At 37.2% G+C, this 21,706-nt stretch overlaps 1 protein-coding gene across 3 annotated transcripts in view, besides 3 other annotated features; it reads right to left on the bottom strand.

Moving 5' to 3' along the window:
* Positions 1–21,706, bottom strand: part of NF1 (neurofibromin 1) — a 282,699-nt gene that overhangs the window by 172,574 nt on the left and 88,419 nt on the right. For all 3 annotated transcript variants that reach the window (NM_001042492.3, NM_000267.4, NM_001128147.3), the window contains exons 9-11: positions 4,507–4,680; positions 3,943–4,065; positions 3,617–3,691 (exon numbers count right to left, since the gene is read on the bottom strand). In NM_001042492.3, the coding sequence (NP_001035957.1) occupies positions 3,617–3,691; positions 3,943–4,065; positions 4,507–4,680 (372 nt within the window). The remainder of the gene's footprint in view (positions 1–3,616; positions 3,692–3,942; positions 4,066–4,506; positions 4,681–21,706) is intronic.
* Positions 20,425–20,734: a mobile genetic element, noted in NCBI's record as "direction; forward".
* Positions 20,474–20,502: a non allelic homologous recombination region, noted in NCBI's record as "UAB-76 distal recombination sub-region, recombines with the UAB-76 proximal recombination sub-region within the NF1 intron 3 Alu-mediated recombination region". NCBI's record gives the evidence for it as "EXISTENCE:nucleotide sequencing assay evidence [ECO:0000219][PMID:26189818]".
* Positions 20,563–20,583: a non allelic homologous recombination region, noted in NCBI's record as "UAB-16 distal recombination sub-region". NCBI's record gives the evidence for it as "EXISTENCE:nucleotide sequencing assay evidence [ECO:0000219][PMID:26189818]".

Here is a 21,706-nt window from a genome sequence, read left to right as displayed (position 1 = left end):
AAACCAACTTATGATACACATTTTGAATACTGAACTCCATTCAGGGAGGAATCCCAAAACTGGGAGGGAAGAAATGCTTTTTTGGGACAGTATGGTTGTTTACATTTTTCCCTCAACTCCTACTTTATTTAATCTAGTTTCTACAAATGATCAATTTTTAGTCTGATAGTATAATGGATTCCTCCAACTCTCAGCAATTTTGACTTGCCCAAAGCAACCAATGCAACTTGATTTCCTTATACTTACTAAATTATACAGCTTGTGTTAATCAGCCTAAAGTAACAAAAAGCTGAATAATAACAAAGTACATTGAGTGAAGGGTCTTCCTTACCCAACACATCTCGTAAGATCTTGTCAGAAACTGATAAACTAAGAAAGGCATCCCATATAACATCCTATTCAAATTACTGTGTCTTTTTTTAATAGCTTTTGAAACCGTATTGTGGTACCAGGTGCACCACATAAAATAACTTTAGGCTTAAGATTTAGTAATTTTCATAGTTTTCATTTTTCATAATATATTCATTTTAAAGTAAAATACACATTTTCAAATAAAATAAGTATGAAAAACTAGACATCATGTGGTTGGCAAAAAAGTTTAGTATTTTGAGCAGTTACTAAATGTGCCCTTCCTGAACACCAGTCAATTAAAGTAGACTTACTCTTTTTTTCCTTGAAAATACCATGTTTATAGCCAAATGGCAACACTTACATAATATGAACAAATTATGTGGCAATTCCTTAAGAGATTTAAATAATTTTCAAATGCCTTGGAAACAATTCCTTTCAACTACAACCTCTCAGTAGAAAGCAATCATCTCATTTTCAGTATGTGAACTATCCATATGTAAATTACGATAAATTGTCGTAAGGAAAAAACAGAAATAAGTAATATACCAGCTATAGCATGTACCAGTGATGGCTAAGATAATTGGTTCATAAGTGTGTATATTACTTTTTAAATTTCCCAATTACATATCTAATTTAACCTAAAGGAAGTCTATGAAGATTATGCATATAACATAGATCTTACAACTATTAATTCATCTCTTATGGCACATCATAATAAAAAAGATGACAGTACAACTACTATTTTAGTAACTGCTAGGAACCTGCATTATAATAAGAATCAAATAGTGGATATATTTTAGATTTTCTAAGAAGAAACACTAGAATATTTTAGATCTAAACTCAGTACTTATGAACTGAGTATGAGTATGTTTCACAAAAGTAGAACTCCAAACACCTTACTACTTCTACACAAACCCTCAATACACATCACTAAAACTTTTATCTTATTTGAGAATGTGATGCTTTAAAAAAAATGTGTGGACTGGCTAAAGAACCATGGGAGAAGAGAACTTATGAGGTACATTGAACCAAGAATCATTAGAAAAAAAATTTACACTACGAATGAATTTAAGATCAGAAGTCCAAATATCTAAGAATAATTTCATGTGATTTTTCAAGACAAAAATATTGCCATAATAAATGTCTTCAAATGAAACTCTAAAATAGTCAATCTCATAAATTTCTATATTCACTTTATAAATAGTCCTTTTCAACCAAAAGAGTACTTCAGATTCAATAGCGATTAGCCTCAAACCAAGGGGGAAAATATCCTAACGAGAAACAATTTCCCACACTATCTATAATAATAAAGTATCACTACCCAAAGCATAATTTAAAAAGATACTTTGAACTAATATTTATGTTCCTTTTCAAGCTATTTCATTGAAAAGTTACTGATACTTAATGTTTAAAAATTATTCAATGTAGTTTTTTTCTTTATAAAAACAGATTTTCATATAACTTGATCTCTGATACAGACACACTCCACCCTCCACACATGCAGTGCTCATTAGAGTAGAAGAGGATGCACAGCCACTTTCACCAAGTACACTGAGGCATGCATGAAGCACCACTCCAGGCATGCTTGGAACCCAGAAAGGAGCAGCTCAGCCACTTACAGCAGTGCCAAGTCCATGCTTGAAAGTGCTCTATGTAGTCAGTTGTAGACAAAAATATTTCACAATTAAAGTAACTAGCCACAAAGTATCAAAAAAGTATATATTTGGGTTTATTGTATACAAATTTTAAGCATTTATGCAAAGCTATCCACTCTTTGAATATTTTTAGTGTTCTGAGCCACAGCGGAAAAAAGCAATAATGACTTATTTCTGAGTTACACATAAACTTGAGGGGAGAAATCATCTTTTTGTTTTAATGGCCTTGAAAGTAAACCTTGAAGGTACAATGCCCTGGCTCATTACGCTGACAAAAGTACAGTGATTTTTTTTAAGTTTTTAATACAAACATACCTTATTTACAATCTTCATTAAACTTTCCCTTTTGGAACAAAGCATATTCAATGTTACTTTTACCTACAATTTAACTCAGTGATACTCAACTAAGGGAGGAGGTATCATTCCCTCAGGCATGTTTATTTGTTCATAATGACTAGGGATGGGGAGATGCAGCACAACTGGCATTTAATGAAATGAGGCCAGACGATCTTAAAGGTCCTGCAATGCCCAAGGCATCCTGCACAACAAAGGACTGTCCTCCCAAAATGCTCACTAAACACCTGCTGAGAAAAATTAAATGTATCACCAAATAGCTTTATCAATAGTTAATTTTCCACTGCAGGAATGGATAGAATATGGGCAGTATTTATTTTAAATAAATACAACATCCAGGGCAAATGAGGTGAAGGGTTATTTTCAACTCACCAGAGGCACAGTCTTAAAATGGAATTTGATTATAAACAGGTCAAATATACTAAGTTATCAATGATTACAGCCTCCTTTAAGGAAGGAAAGCATCAACCAATTTACCCATAAATGTGAGTATCATTTGATAAAAGTGGAACAATGGAAAATAACACTTGAAAACTTTCAAAATAGGGTTGTTCATTATTACAAGAACAGAATTTTAAAAATCCACAGTCCAAATCTGATAGTTTTGCTGTCTATTTAATGTCTCCACATCAGACAGAGTTGAAGGTTTCGCAAGTACCTTTTAATGATTTCACTTACTTTGTCTGATATGCTTTTGTATCTTGTTAATACCTACTTTAAAGTATGTTAATATTTCATTTTGTTTAAGAAAAATGAAATTTTACACTATGAATGAATTTAGGATCAAAAGATTTAAAAGTACCATCAAATATAGTCCCATCATTTTGTCAATGTGCTATACTAGACTACAACATAAATACTATTACTTTTAACTTAAATGGTAAGGTGGCAAGTCAATGTATCAAATGCTGAAATAATATGTTTGAAAAGCTTCGGGATGAAAATTTTAAACTGTATTTTCAGTGACATTTTTCTCAAGGGCTTCTGATCTGAATAAAACGTTTTAGATTTAATCTTTCCAAAGCATCTTATTAACTCCATCTTCCTTAATATGGTCCCTTCGGTCAAGACTTAATATGAAAAATACAAATATTTATCAATTATCAAATAGAATCACCATGGAGAAATTTTCCTATTTCATACATCTAAATTCAGAACCTTTTTGAAAACCAAGAGTGCATTTCTTAAAAAGAAATACGCAAAGAAAAGAAAGAAAAAAATTTTTTTAGTAATTTAGCAATACCTTTTGGACTTACATTGGTGATGATTCGATGGAGTGAATTTACCAGCACATAGTGAAATGTAGAAGGTGAATTCTGAGCCAGGCAGATCTATAGAAAAAGAAAAAAAAAAGCAGATTATTTCTATGAGAAAAATACTCAGTAATACAAATGAAGCCAAAAAGAACAGCAAATAGAAAGTTTAAAAAAAAAACACTAAGTTTTTAAGGTCTTGAAACGAACATCAATACATAATAGTGAGAAATACCGATAAAAGTGAACCTATTAATCTCTATAGTCTTTTTGTTTATAAAGGATAACAGCATCAGTAAATATAGTTAGATAAAAACCAATGCTCTCACCTTAAAGTGTTGGTTGTTGTGAGGGCTTATACGAAAGCAAGAAACAAGGCAGTCAATCATTAGATCCACATCTGCAGGCTGACTGCCTCTTGAGAATGGCTTACTTGGATTAAAAAGCAGGTTCTATAAAAACCCCAACAGAAAACAAAAGCCTTTAAATACCCATGCAGTATTTCTTTACTAACATGTAATAACATCAACACATTACCCACACAAATGGCAGTAAAATCCAGCTGCCAGAAGAAGCACAAAGCACCCATACTGTGGTTCATCAGTCTGATACAATTCTTCCTATACCATATATAGGTTCATTTCAGGCCCTAATTGCCACATTATTTTAAACCCAAGTCTGTATATTTATGCTTATTTAAGAAAATGGTGTTTTCTTCATATTCTCAGTCCATTTAGGCTGATGAACACAGTAACAACAAAAGCAAGTCCTATGAACTTATCAACGAAGAGTCAGAACTTTAATGTTAGCAATTATCTTTGACATAATACTTATGCTAGAAAATTCATTTAATTTTCTTAAAGTTTGTAGTAGAGAAAGAATAAGCATGTTACCTTAAGATCAACCACCATGGACTGAACAAGTAGGAAAATGACAGAGTTATCTTCCCAATTGATGTAAGTACTTGCTTTACACAGTTTGACACAGGCAATTGCAGCACTTTCTGTCAGCTGCCTACTTCCTCCATGGCCAGCAAGAGCTTTTCGTAGACTGTCCAGAAATAACTTCTACAGAATTCAAATATAGCGATAAGATAATATATGAAGTTTCTTCTATTCCAGATGTAGCTAATATTATAGCAAATTAACAGCCTCTAAAACTCATACTATAAAGAATGCATAATTTATATTTGTGGTTTTCAATTTCATAATTTAAGTAGTGGTCATCATTTAAATGTTTCTCAAATTTAAAAAAAATCCTTTTTCTATTTTCTTTATTGAATTATTAAAGGAATACAAAAAACAGTCCTTCCCAAACAAGCTGTTTTCTGAACTTCTTTTTTTTTTTTTTCCCAAGATGGTGTCTTCCTCTGTTGCCCAGGCTGGAGTACAAAGGCACGATCTTGGCTCATTGCAACCTCTGCCTCCCAGGGTCAAGCGATTCTCCCGCCTCAGCCTCCAGAGTAGCTGGGTTTACAGGCGCCTGCCACCATGCCTGGCTAATTTTTGTATTTTTAGTAGAGACAGGATTTCACCATGTTGGCCAAGCTGGTCTTGAACCCCTGGGCTCAAGTGATCCTTCTGCCTCAGCCTCCCAAAGTGCTAGAATTACAGGCATGAGCCACCACACCTAGCCTTCAACTTTGAATTCAGCTGACCATATCTTCTTTTTGATATTTAAAGTCTAAATATTATACTTTCTTGGCTCTGGTCTATGATAAACTGTTCCACCCTTTTCTAACACTCCAGGTTATATTCAACCTTCAGCCTTCTAAATAAGAATATATTCAAGGCTGTTCTGTTGCTCTAAATTTGTTTCTCAAAAAAAATTACCTATTCTTGTGATGTCAACCCCTCTTTACAGTTCATTAACAAATGTCTTCCTTTGGCTTTTCTCCTAAATGAATGCTCAAATGTAACATGTCAAAAACTAAACTCACCCAACACCAGCACAATATATTCTTCTCAAGTGTACATGGAACATTCTCCAAAACAGACCTATGTTAGGCTACAAAATAAGTCTTAATACATTTAAAGAAACTGAAATCATACAAAGTATGTTTTGTGATCATAATGGAAATGAAAAACCAACAGCAGATAAAAAAACTAAAAAATTCACAAATATGTGAAAATTTGTGAATGTTAACTAATAGATCAAAGGAAAAAATCACAAAGGAAATTAGAAACCAACGTGAGATAAATGAAAACGAAAACACAACATACTAAAACTTATAGGATGCAGTGAATGCAGAGCTAAAAGAAAAATGTAAACCTGTAAACACTGACATCAAAAAATAAGAAAGTTCTCATTCAATAACCTAACCATATACCTCAAGGAACTAGAAAAAGAGTAAACTACACCAAAGCTAGCAGAAGAAAGAAAATAATAAAAATTAGAGTGAAAAGAGAGAACAGAAAAACAATGGAGAAAAATTACAAAACCAGAAGCTGATTCTTTGAAAAAGTCAACAAAACTCTAGCTAGATAGGTTAACAAAAAAATAAATAAATAAAAGAGAGACAGAGAGAAAGAACACCAAATTACTAAAGTCAGATATGAAAGTGGTGACACGGCCAGATGCAGTGGCTCATGCCTGTAATCCCAGCACTTTGGGAAGCCAAAGCAGGCGAATCACTTGAGGTCAGGAGTTTAAGACCAGCCTGATCAACATGGTAAAACCCCCATCTCTACTGTAAAGAAGACAAAAATTACACAGGCATGGTGGTGCATGCCTGTAGTCCCAGCTACTAGGGAAGCTGAAGCAGGAGAATCACTTGAACCCAGGAGGCAGAGGTTGCAGTGAGCCAAGATCTTGTCACTGCACTCCAGCCTGTGCGAAAGAGCAAGACTCTATCCCCCCCACCCCCTCAACAACAACAAAAAAAGTGGTGACACTACTGATTTTGCAAAAATAAAAAGAATTATGAGACGATACTATGTAAAACTGTATGCCAACAATTTGGATAACCTGGACAAAATGGACAAATTTCTACAAACACACAGTCTACCGAAACTAACTCATGAGGAAATAGAAAATCTAAATAGAACTATAACTAGTAAAGGGATTAATCAGTAATCACAAAGCTCCCAAAGAAAAGGCTAGGACCAGATAGCTTTCACTGGTTGATTCCACCCAACATTTAAAGAATGCTTCTCAAACACTTCCAGAATATTAAAGAGAAGGGAACACTTCTCTTCATTAGTTCTATGGTCCAACATTACCGATACCAAAGCCAGACAAAAATACTACAGGAAAACTACAGACTAATACACCCTAGGAATACTGATGAAAAACTCAACAAAATCAGCAGCCTATTAAAAGGATGACACACCATGACCAAGTGAAACTTACTCCAGGAGCACAAGATGATTCAACAATGAAAAAATCAATGTAATATACCACATTAATAGAATGAAGAAGAAACTCCACATGATCATCTGAATCAATACAGAGAAACCACTTGACAAAGTTCAACACCTGTTATGATAAAAAAACACTCAAGCTAGGAATAGAAGGAAATTTCCTCAACATCGTAAAAGCCATGTATTAAAAACCAATAGCTAACAACATACTCAATAGTGAAAGATTGAACGTTTTTCCCCTAAGATCAGGAACAGGATGAGGATGCCCACTTTTTCTTCTTCTATTTGGCATAATACTAGAAATTCCGGACAGAGCAAGTAGGCAAGAAAAAGATGGAAAATTCATTGAATTTGGACAGAAAGAAGCAAAACTATGTCTATTCACAGATGATATATATGTAGAAATCCCTAAAGATGACACATACACACCAAAAACAAGCTGTTAGAGCTAATAAATTCAAAGTCACAGAATACAAAATCAGCACACAAAAATCAGCTGGATTTCTATACATTAGCAATGAAAAATACAAAAAGGAAATTAAGAAAACAATTCCACTTACGATAGCATCCAAAATAAAATACATAGGAATTAATCAGGGAGGTGAAAAACTTAATAAAAAACTACAAAACATTGCTGAAAGAAATTAAACATAAATAAATGGAAAGATATCTCACGTTCCTAGATTGTTAAGGTAACAATATTACCCAAAGCAATATACAGATTCAATGCAATCCCTATCAAAATCCCAATGGTATTTTTTGCAAAAAAAAAAAAAAAAAAAGCCAGGCGCGGTGGCTCACGCCTGTAATCCCAGCACTTTGGGAGGTCGAGGCGGGCAGATCACGAGGTCAGGAGATGGAGACCATCCTGGCTAACATGGTGAAACCCCGTTTCTACTAAAAATACAAAAAAAATTAGCTGGGCATGGTGGCGGGTCCCTGTAGTCCCAGATACTTGGGAGGCTGAGGCAGTAGAATGGCGTGACCCTGGGAGGCGGAGCTTGTAGTGAGCCGAGATCGCGCCACTGTACTCCAGCCTGGGCAACAGAGCGAGACTCCATCTCAAAAAAAAAAAGGAAAAACCCATCCTAAAATTCATATGGAATCTCAAAGAGCCGCATAATAGTCAAAACTATCTTGAAAAAGAATAAAGTTGGAGAACTCACACTTTCTTATTTGAAAACTTACTACAAAGCTACAGTAATCAAAACAATGTGGTACTAGCATAAGCACAGTCATACAGACCAATGGAATAGAGAGCCTAGAAAGAAACCCTCACACATATGACCAATTTTTGACAAAGATGCTAAGACCATTCAATAGAGAAAGGATGGTCTTTTCAACAAATGATGCTAGGAAAACTGATTATCCACATGCAAAAGAATGAAGATGGACCCTTTTCTTACATCATATACAAAAATTAACTCAAAATAGATCAAAGACCAAAACTTAACAGTAAAGCTATAAAACTCCTATAAGAAAATATAGGAAAAAAAAATATTTTCAACATTGGATTTGGCAAAGATTTCTTGTATATGATACCAAAAAAGCACAGGCAACAAAAGAAAAAACAGATAAACTGGATTTCATCAAAATAAAAACTTTTGTGTATCAAACGACACTATCAAGAAGATGAAACAACAATCCACAGAGTGGGAGAAAATACTTGCAAATAATGTATCTCATAAGGGGTGAATAACCAGAATATATTAAAAATTCCTATAACTAAAAAATAAAATAAAATTTAGAGCCTTACAAATACTTTACAGTTTTTTTAAAAACTGAAAATAGATGAACCAAGCCATTGCCTCAAGAAATAACAGTATAAATAAAATGAAAGCTAAAATTAATGAAACAGAAAAATTTAAATGCTAGGAAACAAAATCAAAGCCTAGGTTTTAAAGACCAATAAAATAGTAAACGTGAATGAGGAAAGAGAAATGAGTAAACAGTTACAAACATGGATACTAAAGATAATTATATGAGAATATGGAAATATAATATAACCTTTATATAATTGTACAAAATATGTAAGTATTATATACAACTCTGCACTGATAAAACTGAAATATATATTTTCTAGCAAAGAACAAACCATCAAAAGTGACTTTAAAAACAACAGAAATTCTTCAAAAAATCAAAAATAAAATAACCATATGATCCAGAAATTACACTTCTGGATATATATTCAGAAGAATTAAAAGCAGGGTCTTGAAGTTATTTGTACACCCATGTTCACAGTAGCATTATTTATAATAGCCAAAAGGTGGAAACAACTGAAAAATCCATTGGCAGATGAATTTAGATAAATAAAATGTTGGTATATATATACAATGGAATATATCACTCAGCCTTAAAGAGGAAGGAAATCCTGACATGCTACAACATGGATGAATACTATTTCAGCCATAAAAAAAAAAGAATGAAATCCTGTCTTTCAAGGCAACATGAATGGAACTGGAGGACATTATGCTAAGTAAAATAAGCCCATGTCAAAAAGACAAATACTGTATGAGTCCACTTATATGAGGTAGTCAAATTCAGAGAGACAGAAAGTAAAAGGACGGTTGCCAGGAGTTGAGGGTAGGGAAGAACGGAGAGCTGTTTAATAGATACAGAATTTGTTTTGGAAGATGAACAGGTTTTGGAGATTGATTGCACAACGATGTGAAAGATAGTGCTACTAAACTGTATGCTTAAAAATGGCTAAGATGGTAAATTTGATGTTACGTGCATTTTACCGCATACAAAATTTTAAAGAGACAGAAAAACTACACAGATCCATAAGGGAGCTCAAATAAAAGGTGATTAATGAGTTATTTTAAATAGACAATAAACAGGCTAGTTCTAGAAAGAGCATAAGAAACCAGTAGCAGTACTTGACTTAGGAAAAAAAGTATAAACTGAAGGTCAAGAGTGAATAGGAAGCTTACTTTTCCACTGAATTCCCTTCCTGATGTACAGTGAAAATTTCCATTATGTCAATTTATTTTTTTTCTTTAAAACTAATGATAAGCAAAAGTCAAAGGAAATCCTAACCTTGATGATTTTACAATGATTTCTATCTAATCAGATAATTTCTATTATTTAAATTATTCCGGGCCATAGAAAAGACTGATAGTTCCCAAATTCACATTACTAATTTGGCACAAATAACTGTTCGAATAATTAGTTACTTTCAAAAGTGATAATGCATATTATGTTAATTATACATATTTTCTAAGCATCAGAAAGCTGAAGCACTGGAAGGAAATGTTTTATTAAGCAGCTACCCAATACATTTGCCAATAGCCAACCAAGTTTACCTCACACACACAAATGAACATACTAAAAGTAAAGATTTCCAAATATATTTCAGCTCCAAATTTAAAGTGAACATTTAAATAACATAGAAACTATCTGACTGGATACAATTCAGCTCTAAAACTAGAGTTCAGGGCCCTTTATCTTTTGTTAATTATTAATTTTAAATTTTTTGATGTATTAATATTTATGAAGAACATAGTAACATTTTCATAGCTATACAGAGATCAAATCAAGGTAATTAGCATACCCATCATCTCTTATCATTTCTTTGTGCTGGGAACATTCAACATCCTCCTCCTAGCTCTTTGAAACTTTGTAACATATTGTTAATTACAGCCATCTTACAGTGGTATACAACACTAGAACTTACTCTTCCTATCTAGTTGTAATTTTGAATCCTTTAACAAATCGTTCCCTACCCTCCCCGCACCCTATCCTTCCCAGCCTGTAGTATTCTGTTCTACTTTTTACTTCTGAGATCAACTTTTTTTTAGCTTCCACATATGAATGAGAACACTCAGTGTTTAATGTTCTGTCCCTGGCTTATTTCACTTAATATAATGTCCTCCAATTCAATCCACGTGCCTCAAAATACAGAATTTCATTCTTTTTTATGGCTGAATACTATTCCATTGTGTATATATACCATATTTTCTTTACGCATTCATCTGTTGTTAGATACTTAGGATGATTCCATATCTTGGCTATTGTGAATAGTGCTGCAATAAACATGGGAGTACAGATGTCTCTTCAATATACTGATTTCCCTTCCTTTGGATAAACGTCCAGTAATGAATTGTTGGATCACATGGTAGTTCTATTTGCAGTTTTTTGAGGAACCTTCACACTGTTCTCCATAGTGGCTGTACTAGTTTACATTCCCACTAGCCACATTTAAGAGTTCACTTATCTCCACACCTTTGCCAGCATTTGCTATTTTTTGTCTTTTTGATAGTAGCCATTCTAACCGGGGTGAGATGATATCTCACTGTGGTTTTGATTTGCATTTCCCTGATGACTAGTGATGTTGAGCTTTTTTAAAAAATATATCTGTTGGTCATGTGTCTGTCTTCTTTTAAGAAATGTCTATTCAGGTCCTTTGCCCATTTTTAAATTTTTTGTTGTTGTTTTGTTTTGTTTTGTTTTGTTTTTTGCTGTTGAGATATCAGAGTTCCTTGTATATTCTGGATATTAATCCTCTGCTGGATACATACTTTGCAAATATTTTCTCCCATCCTGTAGGTTGTCTTTTCACTCTGCCAATTGTTTCCTTTGCAATAACGTTAATTTTTTAAAGAAAAGTAACTTAAATGCTTGACAATATGGAATTTAAAATATGGTACATTCAAGCTGGGTGCGGTGGTGCATGCTTATAGTTGCAGCTATCTGAAGGCTGAGGTGGAAGAAGATCGCATAAGCCCAGAAGTTTGAGACCAGCCTGGGCAACATAATAGCAAGACTTAGTCTCTTTTTTAAAAAATGGTATATTCAATTTAGGGAACACCATACAGCAGTTAAAGACAATGACCTAGATGAACAATGGTTCTCAAACTTCAATGTGCATCACAATCACCTGAAGGACTTAATAAAAATGGCTGTTTTTAGTGAGAAACTAAGTATTTAGTTAGAAACTAAGAACTGGCATTTCTCACAAATTTCCAGGTGACGCTGATGCTGCTGGTCTAAAGACCACACTTTGAGAAACACTGAACTATATACCTATCTGTCTATCTCCCCATCCTCATAAAAATATAAAAGCTAGACTGGAAGAATATACATTTAACCCTTTGCAGTGGCTGTCCCTGGGAAAGAAAAAAAAGAAATTAGTGGGATTCGTAATTAAATCAGAATTTATGGAAGTATTACTTATTCACAATTTTTAAAAGCCATGTGAGGACTTAGCTCTGATTTTTTAACTTGCCCAAACTCCTACCTAAGGGGTCTAGGAAGTCATGCCCTACAAACCATAAATTCTCATCAGATGGGTTTTATTTGACGCTATATATCGTGACTTACTTTTCAATCTGACTCTGGCATAACATTATGAGACAAGGAAAAAATATTTAGCCCCAAAATATATTTCCTTGCCATACCTTGAAATTTGCCGTGCAAAGTCTCCTGTGGGGAAAAAACATCCACATTCTATAGAGAATCCCCTTTTCCCTTTGTTTTCCTTCTTTCCTTTCCAGATCCAGGAGATTAATCGACTAAGAGCCAGGCACTCTTTTAGGTCTAATAAGAAACATTTTACAACCTTCTCTCTCTCTGAAGTCTGCTGAGAGATTCCTCTGCACAACAAAATCTGGTCTCCACAATCCTTTATCTTAACCTGGACATTCCTTTCCATTAATCCCAAGTCTTCAGACAAACTCAACCGTCAACCAGACAACGTCTAAATTTACTTATGGCCTGGAAGCCCCCACTTTGAGTTGTCGCGCCTTTCTAAACCAAACCAATGTATTTCTTAAATGTATCTGATTGATGTTTCATGCCTTCCTAAAATATATCAAACCAAGCTGTACCCCAACCACTTTGGGCACATGTTCTCAGGAACTCCTGATGGCTGTGTCACGGGCCATGGTCACTCGTATTTGGTTCAGAATAAATCTCTTAAAATATTTTATAGAGTTTGACTCTTTTCGTGGACACATATATAAATTTCTCAAAAGATGAGCAAAATATAAAAATGTTAATAGCAGTATGGGAAACTGTTACATTCTTTGTACATTTCAAATATTTCTTTTTAAAAAAAGATACTATAGTCAAAAGAAACAGGTGACTGGAAAAACATTTACAGACTAAAAATGTAGGATTACTGCTCTGAATATACAAAAAGTTCCGCGAATTCATAAGGAACTGGAAGCAACATAACAGAATAATAGGTAAAGGAAGTCAACAGGCACCTGCAAAAGAAAACATGCAAATGGCAAAGAAACATATGAACTGTTTTCAAACCTCACTAACCTTAAAAAGAATAAAAATTACAATGAGATACTATCTTTGTTCTCAACACTTGAGAATTTTAATTAGTGCTCTCATTTGGAAAATTAATGTTTAAGCCATTAATACTTTTTTCTTTTATATCACTTATTAAATATGAACTTTCAGAATAGTCATGTAACTACAACCACGATCATGACATAGAACATTTCAAACATCACCACAATCAATCCCCTACTGCTCCTTTGCAATAAATTTCCTCCCCTAACTCTCACTCCTGGCATCCACTGATCTGCTTTCTGTCCTGAATTTTGTCTTCTCTGGAAGTTTTAAGAAATCATATAGTATGTCATCTCTTGACCCTGGCTTCTTTCACTTAGCATAATATTTTTGAGATTTACACATGTTGCCGAGTCAGTAGTTCCTTTTTATTGCTGAATAGTATTCCACAGTTCCAAGGCATCACCACTGGTTTATTCATTCACCAGCTGAGGGACATTTGGGCTGTTTTCAAATTTGCGCTATTATAAATAATATGTATACTCGAGTATACATCCTTGAGTGAAGGTATATGCCTTTGTGTGATTTTTTATTTTCATATTATAGGTACACAACATAATTTTCATTTTCTTCAAGATTGTAACTTGCCTTCAACATTTGTATCTATGGATTAATATTCACAGAGATAAATATTTAAATCTATACACATATTCTTGTTCCTAACCTTATGTTATCATTCTATGCTTGAAAATTTACAACATATTTTTAATGCTAGTATCTACTGTTTGCTTCCTTTCTGAATGACATTTTTTCAGCTTTATTGAGGTACGATTGAAAAATAAAAATTGTATATATTTAAGGTGTACAACATGATGTTCTGATAAACTTATACATTCTAAAATGAGTACCACAATCAAGGTAATAACATATCCATCACATCACACAGTTTACCTCTGAAAGAGAAGGTAAGAATACCTGAGATGAGATACTATCTCACCTTATTAGTGTGGCAAAATTTTAAAGATTTAACAACAGCTAATCCTGACAAAAATGCAGGAAAATAGGCAATTCAGTGGGGATGAAACTCTGACCTGCTGCAACTATTGGGGAATGTAAATCTAGTAATAACTATTACAAATTTTAAATGCAAATGTTCTTGACACAGGAACCCCTAGTTTTTAGATTCTAGTCTATAGAATTAAGAGCATCAGTTAACAAGGATATATGAACAAGATATTTACTTAAGGCTTAGCTAAGTGTCAAAAAACTGAAAACATCTGAATATCCACCCATTCAGTGAAATGGCTGAGTAAATGAGGCTCATTAGTGTAACAGAATGTTACCTAATACTGAAAGGAATGTGTCAGATCTCTATCAACTATTTTGAGGAACAGCTAAAATATTTTCTTAGATAAACAACGATGCAGAGTAATGTGCATAAAATAATTTCATTTTAAAATACAACCACCACCACCCTACGTATGTATATTTTGCATTTGAATATATGGGTAAATAGATGTGACTGGAAGGATACATACCAGCCAATAACACTAACCAGCTCAGAAGGAATGTGAGTAGAAAAGGGTGAGAATACTATTTTATTTTTTTTGTTTTTTTGTTTTTTGAGATGGAATCTCGCTCTGTCGCCCAGGCTGGAGTGCAGTGGCATGATCTCAGCTCATGGCAACCTCCACCTCCCAGGTTCAAGCAATTCTCCCCGGCTCAGCCTCCAGAGTAGCTGGGATCACAGGAGCCTGCCACCATGGCCAGCTTTTTTTTTTTTTTTTTTTTGTAATACATTTTTAAAAATACATTTTTTAGCCAGGCGCAATGGCTCATGCCTGTAATCCCAGCACTTTGGGAGGCCCGAGGCAGGCAGATCACCTGAGGTCAGGAGTTCGAGACCAGCCTGACCAGCATGGAGAAACTCCATCTCTACTAAAACTACAAAATTAGCCGGGCGTGGTGGCGCATGCCTGTAATTCCAGCTACTCAGGAGGCTGAGGCAGGAGAATCGCTTGAACCCGAGAGGCGGGGGTTGCACTAAGCGGAGATTGTGCCATTGCACTCCAGCCTGGGCAACAAGAGTGAAACACCGTCTCAAAAAAAAAAAAAAAAAAAATACTTTTCTTTTTAATCCAGAAAGATTTAAAAATCTAAACTTTTAAATCTAGAAAATACCAGAAAAAAATTAAAAAGCATACTTCAAAAATCTTGGCACCTGCCAGACAAAAACATAACATGCTGAATGATTCCATTTGTATGAAATGTCTAGTTTAGAATTAAGTAAATCTATAGACAAAAAACTAGATTACTGGTTGCCAAGGGCTGCGAGTGAGGCGAGAGGAACAGGGAGTGATTACTAACGGGTTTCTTTTTGGGAAGATGAAAATGTTCTGCACAGAAACAATGGTGATGATTGTACAACTTTGTTAATGTACTAAAATCGCTGAATTTTACACTTCAAAAACGTAAATTTTATGATATGTGAATTATATCTCAATAAAATGAATAATATCTTCTGGGAAGAGAGATCTGACCAAAAAAGCTAGGAGACAAAAAGGAACAAGGCTGAGGTGACTACATGCAAATTTTAAATATCTATATAGTAAAAAGAACTCATAAAGTTTAAAAATGAAACCAAGTAAAAATGTACACATATACCCTTACAAATCAACAAAAGACAAACAATTCAATGGAAAAATCAGCAATTCCCTGAAGATACACAAATAACCAGTAAACACTTAGAAAGCTACAGTTGTGATTATTAAAACGTAAATTCACTCGAGTACTACTGAATCTATAGCTTATTTATTTATTTCTATTTTTCCAATAAACAACAACAACAAAAAACACCCTACTGTATTAGTCAGGGTTCTCTAGAGGGACAGAATTAAGGGAATAGATACTTATACAAAGGGGAGTTTATTAAGCATTAACTTACACGATCACGAGGTCCCACAATAGGCTGTCTGCAGGGTGAGGAGCAAGGAGAGCCAGTCCAAGTTCCAAAACTGAAGAACTTGAAGACCGACGCTGGAGGGCAGGAAGCAACCAGCACAGGAGGAAGATGGAGGCTGGGAGGCTAGGCCCATCTCTCTTTTTCACATTTTTCTGCCTGCTTATATTCTAGCCACACTGGCAGCTGATTAGATGGTAGCCAGCCAGATTAAGGGTGGGTCTGCCTTTCCCAGCCCACTGACTCAAATGTCAATCTCCTTTGGCAACACCCTCACAGGCACACCCAGGATCAATACTTTGTATCCTTCAATCCAATCAAGTTGACACTTAGTATTAACCATCACAAGTCCACCCCTTGTCAACTTGAACCCATACATATCTCCTGAGATCATACATAATCTTTAAATAAAGACAATAAAGTCATAATTATGCCTAACATAATACAATTATCCTTCGTACAACCAGAAACACACCTATCCCAACCCAAATACTAAAAGTTAACAATACTTAAAATGCTGATGTGAAGTCAATAAATCTTAAGTCATATGATAAAAGAAAAAGGAAATAAAATGAAGATATTTTCTTAGTACAGGTGTATACATGCACAAACATGTTTTTAACAAAAGGAGGAGGAAATACTCATGACAATTACAGTTGTTTCTGCAGCTGGTCATGCAGTCGTAGCTGGTATTGATGACTACCTTCTTCTACTAGCCATTCTGTATTCCCTTTGCCTTCAGCAAGCACCTCAGCAGGTGGTGGTTTTTTTCCTGGTAGAGTGACCCAAACCTTCATTCCTGAAGGGTCTGGGTCATTTGTAGTCCTGCCTGGATGGGGCTGTTGTAGTTTCCCATTTACCTTAATCACAGGGCATGGCAATACATGGTAATACTAAAAGACGCCCTAATGGATCTCCATGCATACTCTTCTTTACCTCCGCTATGGAGTAGTAGACTGATTTCATCTTGATAGTCAGGGTCAATCACCCCAGCCAACACTGTAACTCCCTTCTTAGCCTGTTGACTTAAAGGTAGGAGGAGCCCAAAGTGTGTCCAGGTGGCAATCTTAACTTCCAGTTTAATGGAATCGTTGTTGTGTCTCCTGGTGGCAGCGTTCCTCCCTCTGGAACTAAGACCTCTAGGCCAGCAGAACATAATGTCTCAAGAACGGGAAGAAAAATTTTCTAGTGGATCACTAGGGGTGATGGTGAGTGATTCCTGGACCCGGGAATCCTGGCTATGGGAGAAACAGTACCATATATTGGACACTGATTCAGAGCATACACAGCCTTCTGGAAAACTTTGCTCCAGCCCTGCAAAGTACTGTCTTCTAGTTGGCATTGTAATTGTGACTTCAAAAGGCCATTCCACTGTTCTACCAATCCAGCTGCTTCAGGATGGTTGGGAACATGGTTAAGACCAGTGTGGCCAGGCACATTGGCTCATGCCTGTAATCCTAGACTTTGGGAGGCCGAGGGGGGCAGATACAAGGTCAAGAGATTGAGACCATCCTGGCCAACATGGTGAAACCCCATCACTACTAAAAATACAAAAATTAGCTGGGCGTGGTGGCGCACACCTATAGTCCCAGGTACTCGGAAGGCTGAGGCAGGAGAATCGCTTGAACCTGGGAGGCAGAGGTTGCAGTGAGCCGAGATCGCGCCACTGCACTCCAGCCTGGCAACAGAGCAACACTCCATCTCAAAAAACAAACAAACAAAAACAGTGAATTCCATGAGCATGAGCCCACTGGCACACTTCTTTAGCTGTAAAGTGAGTGCCTTGGTCAGAGGCAATGCTGTGTGGAATACCATGATGGTGGGTAAGGCCTTTGGTGAGCCCATGCATGGTAATCTTGGCAGAAGCATTGCATACAGGATAGGCAAACCCATATCAGGAGTAAGTGTCTATTCCAGTGAGGACAAATCTCTGCCCTTTCCGTGATGGAAGAGGTCCAATATAATCAACAAGGTAGCTGGCTGATCACCCTGAGGAATGATGTCATATCAAGGGCTCAGTGTTGGTCTCTGCTGCTGGCAAATTGGACACTCAGCAGTGGCCATAGCCAAGTCAGCCTTGGTGAGTGAAGTCCACGTTGCTAAGCCCATGCATAACTTCCATCCCTGCCACCATGGCCACTTTGTTCATGGGCCCATTGGGCGAGGAGAGGGGTAGCTGGGGAAAGAGGCTAAGTGGCATCCACAGAACAGGTCACGCTATCCACTTGATTATTAAAATCCTTCTCTGCTGAGGTCACCTGTTGGTGAGCACTCACATGAGATACAAACATCACAGTTTTTAACCACTCAGAGAGGTCTATCCACATACCTCTTCCTCAAATCTCTTTGTCACCAATTTTCCAATCATGCTTCTTCCAAGTCCCTGACCATCCAGCCAAACCACTGGCTCCAGCCCATGAATCAGTATATAATCGCACATCTGGCCATTTCTCCTTCCACGCAAAGTACACAACCACGTGCACTGCTCAAAGTTCTGCCCACTGGGAAGATTCCCCTTCACCACTATGCTTCAGGGATGTCCTAGAAAGGGGCTGTAGTGCTGCAGCTGTCCACTTTCAGGTGGTGCCTGCATATTGTGCAGAACCATCTGCGAACCAGGCCCTAGTCTTCTCTTCCTCTGCCAACTGATCATAGGGAACTCCCTATGAGGCTATCAGTATAGGTGGGGAGAGAGAAGGTACGGTGGCATGAGTGGAGACCATGGGCATTTGAGCCACTTCCTCATGTAACTTACTTGTGCCTTCAGGACCTGCTTGAGCCCGATCGTGTATGTACCACTTCCACTTGATGATGGAATGCTGCTGTGCACGACCCACTTTACGGCTAGATGGGTCAGAACACACCCAGTTCATAGATAGGCAGTTCAGGTCACAAGGTGACTTGAAGACCCACAGTTAAACATTCCGTTTCCACCAAAGCCCAGTAACAGGTCAAGAGCTGTATCTCAAAAGGAGAGTAGTTATCTGCAGAAGATGGCAGGGCCTTGCTCCAAAATCCTAGAGGCCTCCGCTGTGATTTACCTATGGGGGCCTGCCAAAGGCTCGAAACAGCATCCTTATCTGCCACTGACACTTCAAGCACCATTGGATCTGTTGGGTCATATGGCCCAAGTGGCAGAGCAGCTTGCACAGCAGCCTGGACCTGTTGCAGAGCCTTCTCCTGTTCTGGACCCCACTCAAAACTGGCAGTTCTTTGGGTCACTGGATAAATGGGCCAGAGTAACACACCTAAATGAGGAATGGTGCCTCCAAAATCCAAGTAGGCCCACTAGGCATTGTGCCTCTTTCTTTTTTGTAGGAGGGGCCAAATGCAGCAATATTCTTCACCTTAGAAAGAATATCTTGACAGGCCCCACACCCCTGAAGCCCTAGAAATTTTACTGAGGTAGAAGGTCCCTAAGTTTTACTCGGATTTATTTCCCATCCTCTGGCACCCAAACGTCTCACCAATAAGTCCAGTGCGTTTGCTACTTCTTGCTCACAGAATCCAATCAGCATAATATCATTAATGTAATAGACCAGTGTCATATGTTGTGGAAGTGAAACATGACCAAGGTCTCTCCAAGTAAGATTTGTTTATATAAATTAGAAAACTCAAGCAGTTCTTTACGAGTGTAGCGCACCTCCTCATGGGTCACACTCTCAGCCTCACCTCTAGGGACCTGCTAGGACTTTAGTCTGGTTATAGGTCTAGAAGCAAACAGGGGTGTTGGGGGTGGCTTCTGAGGAGAATCAACATTATCTTGCCTGGCAACTGCCTCAGGGGAGGCCATTCCTGTTGCCTCAGGCAGCGCAGGGTTTATCTCTTCAGACAAAAGTGGAAAGGCTGATGGCAGCATGGCTCAGGGAGGGGATGTTGCCACTACTGGGGATGGGGAAGCTGTTTCTTCTGGCAAAAAAGGTTCATCAGAGTTTACAAACTCAGAGTCCCCAGCTTCATCAGGGTCCTCCCACACATGCCCTTTCCAAGTTGCAGGGTCCCATTCTTTTCCAATCAATGCCCACACTTTAACAGTAGACACCTGGTTAGGCTGTACATGCACCTTTTGTTGCAGGTCAGCCACTTGCATGATAAGAGTTTGTGTTTGTTTTTTCACAATTTCAGCTCTTTTTCTACAGGAGATAAGGGTCTCACTCAGGTCAATCTTAGCAGATTTGAGGCTCAGTATCTGCTTCTGAAGACAGGAGACAGAATCCCTGAGCTCATCATTTTCTATTTTATTTTTTTATTTTTTTTTTTTATTTTTTTTTTTTGAGACGGAGTCTCGCTGTCGCCCAGGCTGGAGTGCAGTGGCGCAATCTCGGCTCACTGCAGGCTCCGCCCCCTGGGGTTCACGCCATTCTCCTGCCTCAGCCTCCGGAGTAGCTGGGACTACAGGCGCCCGCCACCTCGCCCGGCTAATTTTTTGTATTTTTAGTAGAGACAGGGTTTCACCGTGTTAGCCAGGATGGTCTCGATCTCCTGACCTCGTGATCCGCCCGCCTCGGCCTCCCAAAGTGCTGGGATTACAGGCGTGAGCCACCGCGCCCGGCCCATCATTTTCTTTCACCACTTTGTCCACTGAATTTAGGAGCAACCAACCAGCTTCATTATGTTCCTTGGTTCTCCATATATGGTCAAAGGTATTATTATGTATAGGGTCACTAAACTCCTTGCCTCTCATTAGCGGTGAATCAGGAGTGTCAAATGCATTTATTTTGCAAACTCTCTAAACAGTTCACAGCAACGACTATCAGTGTTCTCCACAATATTAGAAGTAGAGTCCTTAATATTTTAGGGTCTAATCATATTAAGCAGCAAACTCCAGAAACCCCCAAACAAACTAAGAAACTCCATCCTTAATACTCCGTTCCTCTAGAACCACACTCCTTGTACCAAAATCTCTATTAGGGTTCTCTAGAGGGACAGAAGTAATAGAATATTTATATAAAGGGGATATTAACTATTAACTAGCACGATCACAAGGTCCCACAATAGGCCGTCTGCAGGCTAAGAGGCAAGAAGAGCCAGTCCAAGTTCCAAAACTAAAGAACTTGGAGTCTGATGTTCGAGGGCAGGAAGCATCCAACACAGGAGAAAGATGTAGGCTGGGAGGCTAGGCCCGTCTCTCTTTTCACATTTTTCTGCCTGCTTATACTCCAGCCATGCTGGCAGCTGATTAGATGGTGCACCACCCAGATTAAGGGTGGGTCTGCCTTTCCCAGCCCACTGACTCAAATGTTAATCTCCTTTGGCAACAACTTCACAGATACACCCAGGATCAATACTTTGTATCCTTCAATCCAATCAAGTTGACACTCAGTATTTATCATCAAACCTACTATTTTGAAGGGCTCCAAAACAATCTACCATGAAAAATGGTGTCCTCATAATGGAAAAGTTGAGATATACACCTAAGTGGAGTAACACGCAATCACAGACTCTCAAGGATTACCTGGTTCATTTATTTACCCTTTAATGTATAAATTCCCGGTCCAATACTTCTACAAAGTAATAAATCATTCA

Source organism: Homo sapiens, chromosome 17 (assembly GCF_000001405.40).
Source record: "Homo sapiens chromosome 17, GRCh38.p14 Primary Assembly".
Taxonomy (NCBI): domain Eukaryota; kingdom Metazoa; phylum Chordata; class Mammalia; order Primates; family Hominidae; genus Homo; species Homo sapiens.
This window is presented reverse-complemented; position numbering and strand designations above follow the sequence as displayed.